At 35.9% G+C, this 18,367-nt stretch overlaps 1 protein-coding gene across 4 annotated transcripts in view, besides 3 other annotated features; it reads right to left on the bottom strand.

Moving 5' to 3' along the window:
- Positions 1-18,367, bottom strand: part of CPS1 (carbamoyl-phosphate synthase 1) — a 201,423-nt gene that overhangs the window by 128,896 nt on the left and 54,160 nt on the right. Inside the window, exon 1 of one of the 4 annotated variants that reach the window (NR_161225.1) lies at positions 191-1,087. The exons of the other annotated variants lie outside the window; for them this stretch is intronic. The gene's annotated coding sequence lies outside the window, so the exon portion shown is untranslated. Of the gene's footprint in view, positions 1-190; positions 1,088-18,367 lie in introns of those variants that run through there. 4 annotated transcript variants of the gene reach the window in all.
- Positions 861-1,356: an enhancer, noted in NCBI's record as "amplified fragment containing the chr2:211413660-211414008 (GRCh37) CAGE region". NCBI's record gives its function as "high expression transcribed enhancer in HepG2 cells {active_cell/tissue: HepG2}" and the evidence as "EXISTENCE:reporter gene assay evidence [ECO:0000049][PMID:24670763]".
- Positions 928-1,276: a CAGE cluster, noted in NCBI's record as "CAGE cluster; bidirectional CAGE region". NCBI's record gives the evidence for it as "EXISTENCE:cap analysis of gene expression evidence [ECO:0000309][PMID:24670763]".
- Positions 8,898-9,477: an enhancer, noted in NCBI's record as "NANOG hESC enhancer chr2:211405459-211406038 (GRCh37/hg19 assembly coordinates)". NCBI's record gives its function as "activates a minimal SCP1, AML or CMV promoter by ChIP-STARR-seq in naive H9 embryonic stem cells {active_cell/tissue: H9 hESC(naive)}" and the evidence as "EXISTENCE:reporter gene assay evidence [ECO:0000049][PMID:30033119]".

Below are 18,367 nucleotides of genomic sequence, written 5' to 3'. Positions count from 1 at the left end.
TCAGTAAAAACTGAACAATGAGACAGAAGAAAGTAACCACAACTTCTCTGGTTTATTATGTTTTATATTAAATAAATGATAAGGTAATACGGAAATAAAGCTATTAATTTTTCAGTAATCCACCTAATAATAAAACTAATTCATCTGTGAGCCACGTTTCTAGCTGATTAACTGATTCAGCTGGACTTACCTAAAATAGCAAAGAATGTCTTATATGTTTCTATCTTGCATCTTATTGCTTGAAGTTATGTATTCCAGAACCATGGAATCTGGGTAATTTCATGCCATTAAATGTTTATGATTGTTCAGAAATCAAATCTAGGATTTCCAAAAGAATAATCAATTCAGGAATTATGTACTGAGTAGTTTCTATGTATCAGACATTGTATATCAGGAAACAGGATTGCTTTCTGCTGAAAGATGTTTTGTAGAAAATTGAAAACCTAGTAAATGTATTCCCTAGATAGTTTTACATAGCTGGATGAAATCTTCAAAATTATTTTCTAATTCCTTTGTTCTATAGATATAAAAACCAAATATCTAAGTAAGCCAAGATCATCTCATTATTCTTGAGTTATTTAATATTTGATCTAAAGCTGTTAGTAGACATCAGTATAGAAATATAAGTTCTGAACAATTACTGCATTTCAAATAGAAATAATTGTGTAAATGATGGAACAACTAGTAAAGAAACTAACAATTACACAAATCAAACTCAACACTTAATTTTGGCTGAAGCATTTTCTTATAACTTGGTCTAAATATGCCTACAACATAAATTTTACAAAATAAAATGGCTAAATAATTAGACAACATTCATTCTAAATAGCAAATACTGTTAAGAAAATGTAAAAAAAAATCATCATCAGTCTTCTTTGCACAACGATTATCATTGCAACAAAACCATCTTCTAACATGCTGACAGAACAAACAACTCTGATGGGCTTGTTTTCTTAACTTTTGTCAAGAGTAAACAAATGATTTTGCAAGATTCTAAAGAGCAACCCTAGCTGTGAGGTAGATGGTTATCTATGGCAATCCAGATCATGTGCCAGGACACTACTGGACCCTCTTTAAATTAAACATATTTGAGGATCACAGAGAAGCATGTGGTGCAACATGTCTTGAAGTTACCGACTTCGTGAAGTGTAAGGGGCAGTAGTTTACACTGGAATGACGTAGAGAACAGGTCACCTACGCACATTCCTACTCCACCCCCTTTTGTAGAAAATTTGTTATACTGAACCTGATTTCTTCCATGGCCTCCTATTTTCAGCGGAATGTGATTCAGGAAGATACATTCCACCCTCCTGGAAATCGGAAATAGGACCCGTGCTTTCACAAACATTAAGTTCCATCTTCCCTAAAACTTTATTGCAATTCCCCAGGAATGGATCACAGAGCTATTTCTTCCTCCAGGTTTGTAGATTTGTAAGTTGAGTCATAGGGCAGGAGTACCTTTTTTTATTTTATATAGGCTAAAAATTTGTTGGAGAAGATTAGTGATCTGGAGAGGGGAAAAAAAAGAAGAACAAGAAGGAGATGAAGAAGGGGAGGAAGAAGAGAAAGAAAGACAAAAGGAAGCCAACCCTAATCCTTGAATTCTACAAACTACTAACAATTAGTCAAAAGTGCCTACTTGGATTTCAATACCTGACATGCCTTTGAGTGTTGAAGAATTAAATGTTTTATTCTGGTATTGTTTTTTGATGTCATTTATTTTTAACCTATACTTGCCCCTATCAAGATCATTCTCAGTTGATAGTAAGAAAAATATGTAATGTTGTTGCTAATTTATCTTGCATTAGGTAATTGATTATTTCAAAAGAGCATTCTTGAACATCTTGTAAACTAAAAAAGCAAAGAACTCGGTATGAGGAAGTTAAAAACTCTGTCAAGATTTCAAAAATTTGTGTATAAAAATTAATTGCCATGTTAGAAGTCGAGGTCAAGCAGTAATGATAGAAATTTTGTGAAATGATGATTAGACATAAAATGTAAGACAAATGAGAGAAACAAAGGTACACAATAGAAAAAGTATTATTAGTACTATATTAGTGACTCTGAATGGCATAAAAATATATAACTCAGAAAAAGAAATTCTTTTCACATTAGAATATTTGTGCTAAAAATAACTGCATTCTTCAAATTATTAAAGACTTTGACCCCAAAAATTTACTTGTCCATAAATGTCTGTTTTTCTATAAATTAAAAAGGTTAATTAGTACTTGATTAACTAATTAACACTTATCTTATTATAACACATACACACTTGAAACAAAGATAGCTGTAGGACTTTCAGGGACCAGGGCTGTAACATAGGAATATGAAGGCCCAGTTATAAAATATTGCCACTCCCAACAGAAACTAAGGATTCTCTTAAATATATGTAGTGCTCCAAATTTGCAAATAGAATTGCACATTTTCCAGGTAAACAGATTCACTAATAAACCTTTAAATAAATGACAAATAAAAATAAGTAAAAGACATTTTATTAAACACATCTTTTACTTTTCTATCCATATGATAAGGTTAAAAGACTTAAAACCTAATGAAAATTATTAATATCTTCAATTAAGGGTCTTTTAGGAATGCAGTTTCTATTTGCATGCAAATCAAAGCACTTCTGACATCCTGTGAGTACTGTACCAAGAGAATTGCCATCCACTAGACTATATAATTCTTTCATTTTTGTTCATTTTTAATATATGGGGTAAGAAAAATGAAAAAAATATTGTGAAGGTAACCCAATATTTGTCTTGATAATATTTTAAATAAATTGAAATATTACAGTGAACTGAAATATCAGACTCAAATATGAAAATAAACTTTAAACAACTCCAAGTTAAACTCTGAATTTTCTGCATTTTTACAAATTGTCTTTGTAGCTAACTCTGCTTAGAGGCCAGAATTAATTTCAATGAAAATCAGTTATTTAAAACAAAGTGCTTTTTAAAATAATGTTTACATTTAAATAAAAGTTTATCATATTAACTGACCAAAAAAATAAAATAGCAAATATGTCAATTTAGCACCATTTTTTTAACTTCTATTTTCAGACCTTGGCTCATACATATGTAAATTCTTTGGCTCAGCTCTTAGGCAAACACAATGGTGTGGGGCAGCGCTAGTAACAGGCCAAGATGGCTCTTCAACACTGAAAGTCCATCCTGACTCCTGGCAGGGACCAGGGCCATCCAGTTATACTACGGTGTTCTTTCACCACCTCAGTGATGGCAGCTGGCTGGAGTCCAAAGCGTTTCAGTACTCCCAAGCTCTGACTACTTTTTTCTCTTCTTTTCTTCATCTTGCCCTACACATTTATCCAAAGAAAATATTTAGGATGTGAAAGAAGGGGTGTAGATAAGAAATGAATCAAAGGAGAAATGTGTGATTATAAAACAATAAAATACGTAACTGAACCTTACTGTGGCTTAACACACAGCCAATAGTGCCAAAGATCATATAACTTCTGTCTGCTGAAGTTTTCTCTTTATTAAATGGCATTGACAGAGAAAAACTATAAAGAATAATTAATTGAAATAGACTGCAAATCACTTAGCCAACATAAAATGATGCAATATTTTATCTGATGAAGAAACCTAAAGTTAAATATTGGTTAGATCAATTTTATCAATTTGTCTATATCCTATCAATCCTTCAAAGCCATATGAAATCATACTCTTTTAATGAACTTTATGTATGTATATCTTGTTTGTATCATACAATTAATATACTGTCCACGTACTCTTATTTCACACATTAATATCTTCCTGGTTGAAATCATTAAATAGCTCCACACTGCTTAACTACAGTGCGAAGTTAAAAATATAATATATTCATTTTTCTAAAGCTTTAGGCTTTTGTTTGCTTCATTCACGTTGTGTGATCTAAATTAGTATCTTCACTGTCTCTGTTTAATATCGACAAATTAGAAAGAGTAACAACCATGACCTCTCATAGTCCATAAGTAATAATTAATTCTTCAATTCCTTCTATAAATACTTATTAAAGCCCTTTTACATGCCAAGCATGGTGCTAGATCCGAGAATAAAAATAAGTCTGGAACACAGACTTGTCCCTCAAAAGCTCCCTCTTGAGAAGCCTTTCAGTTTTATTCTTAGAAGTGGACAAAAATGTGTATTTTCTACTCTCAAGATTGAACAATAAAGAATAACAAAAAGAACTAAAAATCTAAGAAGCTCAAGACCCCAAAGACTCAACCATAACAGGCTAAATCAATATTCCTCTCCAGCAGCTCTCCCAGGATGAAATGTGATCACCTATTAATGCACTTCACAAAATAAAAAACCTCCATGTCATCTTTCATATCATAGAAGTTGACCCACACCCTAGGAATCACTTTAGATCCAAAAAATTCTCAAGAGAACAAAAAGAATTACACTTTTTTTCCCAGCCAATACTGGCTAAAAGGTCTGATGATCAACACTGAGCAAATTAACTTGAGTAAAATTGTAAATATCCTCTACGCATGTGACTACAAAGACAAGGTATAAATTGTGAAATCTCACATTAATATATATTTTTAAAATACCAAGTGCTTTCTAATAACATATAAAAGATAAAAGCATGATAAAATATATCTCAAAATGAATTTAGATTAATATTAAATGCTATAAATACATAAGGCATCGTGTAAAAAATAGTAAGTCTTAAAATCTCAAAAACTTATGAAATTATAAATCCATAATGTATAAATTCATACATTTATAATTTATTGCTACTACCACACCCAATAAGAATGCCACAATATAATTACAAAAACACAGAGAAAAAATGTAAAGGCTCATACCAAAGTTATATTAAAGTTACACGGGTTTAAAACTCAGGAATAATAAAATTTCTCCAGAACTCCTTATCAGAATCCAATTAATTGCTCAGCTCACCACCGTTCCTTCTTTTCCAAATCTTGAATATGAGCAGCTAAGAAAAGATGAGCCACATCAAAATCAAAGCAAACAAACTTCTGACCGTTAGAGCTTATACACAGGATGGCTGGAAACAGGATTGCCATGACCAGACCCAAGTCAACAAAGCCTTGTTTTAAGGAGATTAATCTTTTTCTTCAGGCTTGAAAAACCCTGTGCTACGTCTGGGAAAAGAACTACTCCACTCCCTTGATACTGGGCTCCGTGTTTCTTCCAGACTTAAGATAAGACACATTTTCTTATCTCCTCTGAAGGAAAGAAATGGCTTCAAAGTTCAGGAGACAGGTCATACTGTAATACCAATAGGATGAGAGGCCTTGTTGGACCACCTGACTTAGAATTAGTATGAGGAGAAAAAAAAAATGTACTAGGCACTTCAACTCCATAAAGAAATTCTCAAAGTCAACGTATTTCCTCAGTAAATACATTCCCTAAATATCTTAAACTTTAAGACTAAATATAACAACCATTTTTACATACCTATTATATTATACTTCAGAATGCCATACCCCAGTTTAAATTAACTGGCAGAATTCTGCTCCAAATTTTATCTGCATTTATATTTCAGCCTGAAGAAAAAGATTGTCAAGGAATAGCTACCCTCTCAAACTAGTACGAGGAAAATTCTAATTAAATCCAGTTGAAAATAATTTGTGGCTTTAAAACTATTTCAAGTAATATTTACATATATAAATGTTACATAGAGTTAAGCTCAGCAACAAGCAGAATTAGGAGTTTTAATATTAAATATATAAAACATTCTTGAAATGAAGATGGAAAACAGCTACATGTTTGTACAGGTCAACTAGAAGCCTCAGAGCTGAGGTTTGACATGAATTCATTCTATTACAGTGGCTGAGTTATTTAACCTTTGTGTGCATCATTTTCTCATAAGAAAATTGAGTAGGATTAATCATCAAGAAGAGCTCTTGGCCTAAAGATGTACCTCATCAAATGAGCTGTGTGCAGAGAAAGAATATTTATAGTAATACATTTCAGAAGGAAGTTTCCAGGATTACGTACCTACTGACATGGACTGATTCCCAATGTGTTTTCTTTAACTGCTAACAAGTGTGCAGCATGCTAAGCTAGTCAATAAGTAGAAGCACACTCTATCCCTGGTTCTGTCATAACCTCATTCTATCCTCAGCCAAGTCTATTAATCTTCCTATTTCCCAGTTTCTCTAAAAACTGCGCAAATCAGTGTCACAAAAATGGCAGGGATGTGTACGAGTTAATGAGAGAATATCCATCAAGCCCTATGATCCCAGAAGAGAGCACCAAAGGAACACAAATTTGATTAAACCTCTCATGTCCCAGTGCTGATAGCCCTAGGAGAATTGTTAAGGAATAACTTGCGGGAGGGGGGGAAGTGATTCTTTCTTGACGTCCTAATTTTGTGTATCTAATTTATTCATCATTTATGCATTTATTTATTCATTCAACAAGTTGAGTATCTTTTATTACATACCAGATACCCCATTAGGCAATGGTGAAATGAAATGACATGGTCCCAAACCTCATGATACCTCATGGGAGATGCTAAAGAAATATAAATGAATTGGAGCTTTCAGTATATTAAGACAGCTTAGTAATCAATCTCACAATATATAATTACAAATTTTATTACAATATATGATTACAAACTCTGCAGGAATAAAGTAGGCTGTTTTGCTAGAAAATAATAGTGGAGAACAAAATTTAGATTGGATGCTTAAAACAGTCCGAGGAAACTGAGATGTGAATGATACATATTAATTAAATGGGTCATGTGGGAGGAAAAGCACCCCAGCCAGAAGGAACATCATATGTGAAGGCTTTGAGCTGGAAATTGATGATATCTTCCTGGTGAAACAGAAGGATATTGAACCAAGCAGGGGAGATTATCAGGAGAGATCTGAAAGGCAATCAGACCCCAGACCCTGTAGGTGTTGGCAGGGCATGTTAACATATTGATTTGCCATTTATAGTGCAATAGGAAGTCATTGAAGGATTTTAACATGGAAAGTGAAATTATTTTATTAATATTATGAAATAGATTAATTGCTGTATAGAGATGCACTGCATGCAACGTGAGCCCACATAGGAAGCTAACTGTGGTAGACCTGCTTGGGTGCACTACTTAGATCCTCTTTATTGGGCTAGTGCCCCCCTCTCCCAGCCACTGTGGGTGATGGTTGCTAATTGCTCACACCTAAAACCTTTCCCAGGGACTAACCCCGATTAAGGAGTGTTTCTTTAATCCATTATAGGGGCATGAGGTGCCAAACTCCTTTACCTCAAGAGTGAACAACTCTGCCATGTTGCTTGTGGTCCAGAACCTTCCCTGTGGATCAGGCTAGGGCTAGAATATACTTGAAACCATGTATTGAATTTACTCAAGTGATGGAGGTAGAAGTCAAACTGAAGTAGATCAGAGAGTGACTAGGATGTTAAAAAATAGACAAAACATGAGAAGAAAAGCAGCTAAGTGAAAGAATAGAAACTGGATGAGAATGTGGAGCCAAGAAGGGTTTCGTTTGTTGTTTTTATGTTTTTTATTTTTTGATGAAAGGTGCCCAAGACACGTTTGTAGGCTGCTGAGCCTGCTCTACTTGAAAAAGAGAGAAAAATTTGCATGAGAGAAAGAGTATAACCAAAAAATGAAGACTTTGAGAAAGAGAGACAACACGGCATCTAAAGAGCATGAAGAAGGATTGGTTTTTGTTAGGAGGGGGGACGTTTGCACCCTTTTAACAGGAGGGTAGGAGGAGATATAGGAAATATATCTTCTCTTACTGAAGGTTTGTTTACTTGGTAGTGTGAAAATGGGAGCATAACCCTTGATTGTTTCTACTTTCTAATAAAGTAAGATGTAGACTTTTCAATTGAAGGTTGGAGAGTTTAAACTAATATCTGTGAAGAGTAAGATCATGCTGTCATTAGACAACCACAGCAGGAAAGCCAGTAGTCTTGGGCTCCCATTTGAGATCCGTGACCATGAATTTATAGTGACATCAGAATGTCCATGCACATGGTTTTCTTCAGCCATTCTCAAACACAAGGGCTCAGGCATAGAGATGGAGGATTTTGCACCAAAGGTCTGAGTTTTGCCAGGCCAGTTAGAAATTGGGGTGTGGAAGTTAAGGTTATCTTGAAAGGAATGATTATAATGGTAGACCCTAGATTTTAAGCTAGATAAGAAAGAATGCTCAAAGAATTGTTACACTAAGAATACTTGAGTATATGAGATCAAAAAATAAGGGAGGAGGGGAAAAGGATGCTGGAATTTTGAAGGTGGCACAGTTTCTGGTAAAGAGTGGTCTAGATGTGGCCACAGCAGTTGGTACTGAAATCAAACGGGTGGCATAGGAATGGGATGGTTTACTAAAGCTGCTCTGCATCACACCTTTGGTTCACACAACCCTGATACTCCATGATCAACCAAAATCTGCCAAAAAACATGAATTATCTTTGTAAAAATACTTAACCATCATTACATTACAAAGCAGTCTGGATGAGTAAAGTGTACTAAGTGAAATGCAAATATTTTCCCATTTTTCCCTTTGGGGGAAATGTACTTCACATCACAGAAATACTGGTTTAAATAAAGTTCTAAGAACATTTTCTTTTTGCTTTGTTTTTTAGGGCTTAATAGTACTAATGTGGCCTTGGACTTCTCTTAGTCAGCACAACTGATCAATCAGCATTTCACTGATTGCTTAATTCCTCCTTCTCTACATAAGAGGGGTAAAAGCCCTTGCAAAATGTGTTTGTTCTGTTTGTTATTCTGGACAAAGCCGATAACGAGTTGCAGCTGCTGTACAGAGTGTACTGCTTGCTGAGGCCATTGCTTTAACTTATAGATAGAAAGGAGCAGCCAGAGATGTGCCTCAGGCTGAAGCCAGTGCTGCAAATGGGACAGCGCTCTCAAGCTACATTATATGCATTTCATTATCCAACAATTTGTTCTGGGAGGACAGTTTGATTGGCCAGGCAAGAAATTCAAAATGAGAGACTTTTAAATATCACAACTCAGCTAAAAGAGCTCTTCTGTTTTCTGACCTGAGAAATTCACTTCTATCAGTCTCAATAAAGATGCTTGTAATATTAGGTGATGCAGACTCTGAACATTTGTCCCTCTGGACTGAGTGCACTCCCGATGATCTGAGTCTTGGGGCTATGCCTCAGGCTTCACAATTCCTAGTGTGAAAGCTACTTGCATATCCACCCCTCCATCCAGCTGGGTTTTGTTCTGCTTTTCTTGTGTAACTAATGACTGTGAGTCAAAAAGATGGGAGGTCAACTACTTGCCTTTGACCATTAAATAGGTGTTTAAACTAAGCTAACTAAGGAATAACATTGTTTTTCCATTTCGTGATATCGTTTTCCATTTTATCCTAGATTCTTAACTAGGATGTGAAGAAAATAATAGTAGTCAATATTATAAAGTTTAAAATAATACAAAGTAGTCGATATTATAAACACAGACATATTTCTAGAATGGAACAATAAGATAGTAGGCTTCTATGTTTTATTTTAAAAGGTTCCGAAATTACCCACTTACCATTTGTGTGACCTTGAACAAGTTGCTTTAACTCCGAACCTCAGTTTCTTCATATACAAAATGGGAATACACCTACTATGGAGGTTTGCTGATAGAATTTAAACAGAATAAGTTACGCAAAATATCTGGTGTTAGTAAAGAATTCTCTCAGTGACTCATAGCAAGAGTATAAATTGGTCTAGTCACTTTGTAGCATGATTTGTCATTATACAGTGAAATGTAAAATGTGCATACCTTACAGCAATTACATTTTTTCAGGATGAAACTCAGAAAAATACTAAAACATGTGCACAAAATGATAGATACATACATAGATATATAGATATTCATTGCAGCATAAATGAACCAGTGGGAATAATATTTAAATGCATGAATGTTCTTTTCCCTTTTGAAATTATTTTACTGACCTTCTCCACAAACTCACCTATTTCTTTTGGGTGGTTTGGAATTATTACAACAGGAAGGCAAAGAGAAAGAAAAAGTTAATATTTATCTTCTGGCAAGGCAACGGGATTTGCAGTAAGAACACAGTGCTAACAAGTAGATTTAATCAGGGAGAGGGGAGTTCGTTAAATTCTTAAACTGCTTTAACTTATCATAACTCAAACTAGAGGATTCAGATTATATGAATTTTTCACATCTGGTGAAGTGGTAGGAAGAAGAATGGAAACACAGACGTCACATCAGCGTCCTTTATTTCCACTTCCACTTTCAACCCCTGATCCAGGACCACTCTTTAAGGCAGTAAAGGAGCAATGTAGTAGAAATGACAGCAGCAGGCCAGCAGATACCTATTCCTGAGACAGAGCCCATGGCATTCAGGGCCTGGAAACTGGGGACCCAAAATAACCCAAGTCTGGTTGTGACAACACAGAGGTTCTGAGAGTACAGGAAGAATTAAGAAGCCTGGGGACAAGGTAGAAAACCACTGCAGGTAGATCATAACAGACAAGGGACAAATGACCAGACCCCCTAACGCCCCAAAGAGCAGATGTCAACAGCACAGAGAGCAGACCAGCTCAGCTGCTCTGCAGATATCAAGGAGGACTCAGAGGATACATCAATCTGATTACCCTTTCCTTCTGCACCACTAAATCATGTAAACTAAACAACCAGATGCCCTCTTGAAGAGGAATAGGGTAAGCAGGTCAAACTTGGAAAAGTGGAACAAATTGACCAAGCAAGGACAGGGTTACCTAAATGGAGTATTGGACTGCATTACTGGACTCAAGACAAAACTTACCAGATTAGACTCGTAGATCAGATCAGTTATTTAAAAAATAAATAAAATAAGGTACTTTTTTGTACATTTGAAACTACTGCGGATAATTCCAAATCTTGCTTGAAAATAATCAATAGAGATTATTACAAAACACAATATGCCAATTTGTGGAATATTTTGCAGAAGATGAAAAGATCAAAGCAGATCTCTGTATACTGAGAATAAGAGCAAACACTGACATGGCATTTATTGTATGACAGGCTCTGTTCTGAATGCCTCACAGGTGTTCCCCATGTCACCCTTCAGCAGTACTATGAGGCAGATTCTGTTGTTATTCCCATTTTACATATGTGGAAAGTGAAGCACATAAGTGATCTTCTTGAGGTTCCACTACAAATTAGTCATGAAGCCTAAATAAAAAGAATTCTAAGGCATGCCAATGAGTGCGGAAAGCAATTTATACAACAATATACGCAGTAAAACATTAATAAAATACACTATGTACCAACCAGTACTACAATTTTTACCTGTAAGTGACTAGAAAAAGGTCTGAAGGGGTATTATCATAATAGTAATAAATTTTTCCTCTGATAGAGGAAATTATTTTTTCCCATAGGAAGATCTTAAACTTATTTGTAATGTTTCAATTTTTTCACATGATGAACAAAGCAATACACTGCTCATGTTACTGAAACTCGATAAAATATATGAAGCTAAAATTGGTCATCTAAAAGTATGATAATATATAATATTTATTTTCTACTTTATCTCCAATATGCTTATCATACAGAAATTATAACAAAATGCAAGCAAATGTTTTGGATAATTTGAAAGTTAATAAGTTGTACACTGTAGCCCTACCATCCCCACTGATGTCAAAGGGCTGATTTTTAATTATGCAATAGTAATTAAATAGGGATCAATGTCATTACCTGAGAAAACACCAATACAGAAATTGCTATTGTAGACAAGATAATTTCTATTTAAAAAAGAAAATGAAGTAAAGGATTAAAATTAAAATGTATAAGTATATCATTTTAATATATTAAATAAGTTTAGCTAATACAAAATTCAGTTCTCCTGAGTTCTCTTAAAGATCAACTGAACCTCCATTCTGGGCTATTTCATGCAATCTGTAATATACAAAAGTAGGATATTTCAAATGTGGCACTATAATTATGTATGTATCTGCATAAATATTGAAAGAAATAAGGATACAGACTTTATTATAATAGGAAATATAGGAATTTATAAAGTTTATAATGGCTTTTAAAACTTGAAGAACATATTAGAACAACATAAAAAACTCTGAAAATGGCATCTTATTAATTTTGAATTTCATTAAGTAATTATACAACCTATATTCCTATTTCAAATCCTGCCACAAACAAAGTGGCTAATGTAGAAGAGATAATGAATCATTCTGTGCTCCCCAAGACCAGGAGGATTGAAGAACCCATATTTTTTGGGAAGATAATCCATTGCTAATTACCAGAAAAATGCAGTTAAGAGTTATATGGTTTTAGCATGATACCTGATCTGTATAGCAGAGGATATACACATATATACAAATACATATATTTAACATTACATATAGCCTGTAGTTCTATCTAATACAGTGTTGTTCTTTAGCCTTAAAATATTAGTAGCACTGGGGAGTAGTATGGAAGAGGAAACAGCACATGTCTTGTAGGATAACAAATTACTCGAGCCTCTGCGCAAGGCCAGACTAAGCACAAATGCATCATCCATCAACAGTACCTGATGAATCACAACATCTCTGATCCTAAAATAATCATTGCTGTTTTATAATTCTCATATAAAATGGCACACTGTTCAAAGAAATGTGGCGACTTACTACAAATCAATGGTATAAGACATTCACCTTGGAATCAGGCTATCATATTTGATTAAGACTGCAATTAAACAGCACTTGAACAGTACACCTGTAACACCTAGAAAGCATTCGGGTATGTCAGTGCTTAATACTTCAGAGGGCTGTTTTGGCAGATGTTATTTATGCTACTTATGTGTGGCAGACACACCACTGGAGGAGGATGGCAGTTCATGCTAGAGTACACCATCCCATACACAAATCCTTTATTAACCCTATGCCTGTCTCTCCAACCAGACTGAATTACACAACTGTCATTCCTCCAGAAGACACAGCAAATGCAAAAGAAAAAATATTATTCACATAGAAAGAGTTTTACCAGTTATAGTTGGGTTTTTCCCCTTTTATTTTCACTAGCCCTTCTCACCACTCATTGGTTTGAAAATTAACCCTTAGCAATGTGCTGTAACTGAACATGCTGTTGATTTAAGGAAATGGAAACCCAAAACCCATAATTCATCTTTAGCTAATATATAATATCATTCTGGAGCTTATCAGCATGTCAAAGTACAAAAGTTTAAGAAATTCCTATTTAAATGCATCTGGTATCATTAAGGAAGTGAATGGTGGACTTTATATCTTTTTGGTTTTCTGGTGTGTTCATGAATATGATATAAATTCATGAGTGACTTTCAACTGATTATGTTTCTACCATGTGAAACAGTGAAATCACCACATAGGCTTCTTTCTTTTCATGTTTATTTATCTGGTACTATTTAACTTTAATCTAAGAAGTAATCTAAATTTTTTAAGGTTTCCAGCCAATGATTTATTCTTACGCTCTTTCTCTCTTACTCTCATTTCTCTCTTAATGGATATAAGATCAGGCAAATTAAAGTGTTCTCTACAAAAGTGTTATTTATGACAGTAAATATCCACAGTTGGTATTTGTAGTTCCAGTGTTCTTTGAAGATCTACTAGCTCAATTTGGATTGCCAATCCATGGGGCTTATATCTAAAGAAGTACCTAAATACGGCCAGGCGCAGTGGCTCACGCCTGTAATCCCAGCACTTTGGGAGGCCGAGGCGGGCGGATCACGAGGTTAGGAGATCGTAGCCATCCTGGCTAACACGGTGAAACCCTGTCGTCTCTACTAAAAATACAAAAATAAATTAGCCGGACATGGTGGCGGGCGCCTGTAGTCCCAGCTACTCGGGAGGCTGAGGCAGGAGAATGGCGTGAACCCGGGAGGCGGAGCTTGCAGTGAGCCGAGATCACGCCACTGCACTCCATCCTGGGCGACAGAGCCAGACTCCATCTCAAAAAAAAAAAAAAAAAAGTACCTAAACACTATTTAAATCAAAATACATATATTTAAAACTATCCAGAAAAAAAAATTGAGGTTATTAGTAACTAGAGAACTGATTTCTCCCCAAGTTAAAACTTGTATGCAGTTTTTAAAAATTGTGTATACATAAAGTCATTTTGCAGGAACTTAATCTCCATGTAGTCTATTCAGGATGGATTTAACTTAATACATGTATGATAAGTCTGAAATAGACTTGCATTGGAAATGGCAGGATAATGTCAACAGACCTGACCATGAATCCCAACTTTGTCACTTATGAGCTGAGTGCATCTGGATGTAATCTCTCCAAATAAGTTTTCTCATCTGAGAAATGAAGATCATAATAGCACCTCCCTCACAGTTGGCACCTACTTTAGATGGTCTGTAGGTGGGCAGCAATCTGACTTGGAAAAGCAGGAGTTATGCTGCGTAGAACTTTACCCAATAATGAGGAAGTTTCAATGTCATTATCAAAAAAAAAAAAAAAAAAAACAAGGAAAAAGGGAGAAGGGACTAAACTTTTTTTAAGTACATGTAGTAAAAAAGAGAAAGTGCTATAGCTGGGATAATGTTTTTGAAATATTAGCAGATGTATTTTCTTCCCCAGGAGTCCTTGTGTTTCCTACCTTACCCATTGAAACAAACACCAGCATTCCTTATTTCCAGAGGAGATGGTAAATACATCAGAGAATCACATTGTCATTCATCAGCTTTGATCTTCAAATCTGGCTTTTTTAAAGTCAGTAGCTGAGACAAACCTGGAATGCTAGGCTTTCTGGTATTATTGTGAAAAGGGGGATTTGTGGGTTCCAATGAGCCAGAGCTCAAATGATTCAGCATAGCATTTATAGTATAAAACTTAAAGAAGGGATGAAACATGAGGTCATGAGGTTTTTAAATGCAAAAAGGTAGATAGAAAGCTTTTAATATGTGGAGGGATTGGGAGGGGAACGGGGTAAGAGAGATTGAGCCTATTGAATCATTCTGACAGGGGTAGGTGCCTAACCTGCTCTCAAAGCATAGCCAGAAAACACTACAAGCCCTTGGGAAAACCCCTCACTCAGCATGGCACCAAAGCAGCATGGCAGGCATGGCAGAAGGACCACCACAAAAGCTGGGGTATGTTTCAGGCAGATGAGCTTAAGAAGCCTCCTAGAGTTTCAGAGTCTATTTTCTGCACAGAAAGTAGCCATGAGTTCTTGAGCATCCCCTGAGGAAAGACAGGGAAGTGCTCAGTGGGCCTGTTGCCGAAAGAGAGCCAGAGTTAGGGCATGAGGTGTAGAGCCTGAGCATGTAGTCCAGAGGCCTAGGCAGGCCCATGCAGACCCAGTACACCAGATGCTATACATGAGGTCCCCAAGCTAGAAGAGAACTGCTATGTCTCAGCAAAAGTCTGCAAGGACCAAAGAAGACCCAAGGAATAGGACACTCCTCCCCTCATGCCAGGATGACCTATAAGCCACCCAGTAACTTAGATCATCTATAAGGATAATCAAAGAAGGGACCAGGAAGAGAACGTAGAATTTGACTGAATAAACTGTATGTGACTAAATTAAATTGAAACAGCAAAAGTAACTGTTTTCAGCCAACTGAACAAATGGGGACTTGACCTAAGTTCAGTAACAGAAAAATAAAATGTTTCATTTCTGTATACCTGAGTTATGACTGTAAATTTTAAACCCATTACAATGTCTCATCAATTATATATTTCCATGTCAAGTAGATTCACTGAGACCTCTTCAAAATTTACTGCTTATTCCTTCTAAGATACTTTCAAGTTAACAAAAACATGCAATCAATGCTACATACTGCAGCCGATAACTGCCACAGTGGGACAATCCTAGAAATGCACAAATCTGGCCCACAGCAATATATAGTAATGATTTTGAGGAGTTGTTACAGGAGTGGATAGTCATTTATCTTTCCAGAGTAAGTTTGCATTAAGCAGAAGAGAGATGAAGTGATTACTGTGGTTCCTCCTCTTTCAAAGGTGCCCTTCATCCCTTTCCCAGCACAAGTGAAGATACACCAGAAGGGAGCAGAACATCCATCAATCACTGCAGGGCTGGCTGGACGCCTAAGCAACATGTGTATCCATGAGTAGCCCCTCGCGAGCAGTCTCTTTGCCATCGAAACACTGCTTATTTCCCCACAGGGTATCCTGACACTTCTTTTAAGAAGCTGTGTGACAGCAGCAACAGAGTGCTAACTCATCAGAATATGTGGCAGGAACATCCAACATGGCTGTATCACTCAAATTACACTTTGACTAATCAAGGAGCAACCAACTAAGGGCAGCTTAAGGACACTGGCTTAATTCAACGATTCACTGTCTCATTAAACCAAGTGGAGAGAGTTCTAGTGATTGGTTGCCCTGTTTCCCAGTGGCTTTCCTTTGAAGAGATGGAGGAACAAAAGATAATTTCTGATTACTCTGAAATGAACTTGCTCCCACAGTGTTTATGAATGATCATTTGATTAATGCCCCCTGGTAGGCCACTGTCTGGTGCATGATCCCTCAGGTTCCTTCCAGAAACAGCTGTAGGGATCATCCAAGAAGCCTCTAAACTGCAAAACTAGGAATTACTTAAAGTGACTAGTTTCCAGAAAATATGAGTTTTTATAGTTTTACAGAGTCAGATAAAAAGCATGTTATCACTGTTTACAGCCCAATGAATCTTGATATGCACAGCTTCAACTGGTACAAATATGTCTTAGGAAATGCCCTCCTTTGTGAAGCTTGTACCGGAGAACACAGACTCGAGAGCCTGACTTCCTGGTTCATATTCTGGCTCTACCACTTGCTAAATGAGTGAACTTGGGAAAATTGCCTAATTACCCTCTTTGTACCTCAGTTTTCCATCTGTATAATTAGAATAATGATATTATCTGTGTCATAGCATTGTAGTGAAGATTAAATGGGTGATTTCTAGGCAGAGTGCATGCAATGGTGTCTAGCATATAGTGTCAGAGAACTATTAGCTACTGTTTGCTGTTATTGTTGTTATTTTTGCAATCTCAAGACTCTATTCATGGGATTTCAATTCTCCAAATCCCTTACTGTATCTACATTTAACCCTTCAGAAAACCAGAGACCATTTCCATGGATTAAGGTCTTCTTTGAGTCCAGACGACTCATCCATAGGAAGTAGTATGGGAAAGACAGAGATAGACCTCACCAGGTGGCAATTCCCTGTCCTTCATGGTCACACTACTCTCCAAGAAAATCTTACACCTGTAAAGCGACTTCCCTCCCCGCTCACCGTTGCTCTTCCCCACATTTCCCAAGTTAATTGGCCCCTTGTTTTCACGGTGTTGTCCACTACCCACATTAGCTTGATAATAACTGAGATTAGTTCTTGCAGGATCACCTTCTTGAAGACCTGTTTAACCTAGGAGACCCGGTCAATCATAATCAGAGTATGATCTTTAAAACTGAGTACTGTGTCCTATCAAAACTTTAAAAAATATTTCCCATTTGGACTGTGGGTTGGCCCTCTGCCCAGTTGGTAGTTCTGCTTACCAGATATAAGGCACCCTGAATAGGAACTGTTTTATTGGCATTAAACTCACTGGTAAACACATATGTTTATTTAGAAATAGTTATTTTCTAAACCAATGTTTTCGAAACTAGTGAGTAATTTAATTTAATAGAGCAATTCAAAACTTTGAGCATTGGGACATATACCACTACAGGAAAATTTAAAGCATTTGGTTATCTTTCTTGACCTAAAAAAACTTTAATTAAAAAAAAAGACATAGTTAGCTATTGCTATACTTATTCCCTTTCTAGTCATTACCCTAGTCCTAAGAGGATACAGTAGAGAAACAGAAAAATCTGCAGTTACTTCAGATTTATGTATAACTATTTAAAAACAAGAGTAATTTGGAATTTAGAACTGCTAAGTATAAAGCCATTCATATAGTAGTTTATCAGGTGCTCTCTTCATTCTTCAGAATAATTTTTAATCTAATACATTCCAAGCAACACATTCCCCTTCCAAATAGCTCCAAGGTCAAAGACTAATTAGCCTTTTCTCTTGAAATTTGGCAACGATACAGACCTTGTTGCTTCACTTTAACGTTTTGAACTCTCTAATAACCCTCCAAAATTATTTAAATGCTCTCTAAAATGCCTCATAGTTCTTTGTGATCTGGTCAAGACTAATGAAATGCTTAAGCTTTCACCCCAGGGCCCCTAAATAAAAAAACCATGATGCAGAAATGTAGTGTTAATCAGAGACCTAACTTTAAAAGAATACCAAAGAATTGTGTGATTTTCAGAGTTAACAGTACTCCACATCCTTGGAAGAAAGCATCATGTAAGCCAATCAGAAAATCTTACTCTCGCTGACCTGGGAAACTTGAGCTGCTAACTTAACATGGAAGTATACATTTTCCCAACAAATAATAGAAAAAAACTGTATTCAAGGTGTTCACCTCACAAGAATAATGCAGTCTAGAAAA

Source organism: Homo sapiens, chromosome 2 (assembly GCF_000001405.40).
Source record: "Homo sapiens chromosome 2, GRCh38.p14 Primary Assembly".
Classification (NCBI taxonomy): Eukaryota; Metazoa; Chordata; class Mammalia; order Primates; family Hominidae; genus Homo; species Homo sapiens.
The sequence above is the reverse complement of the archived record's forward strand: the minus strand, read 5'-3'. Positions and strand labels throughout refer to the sequence as shown.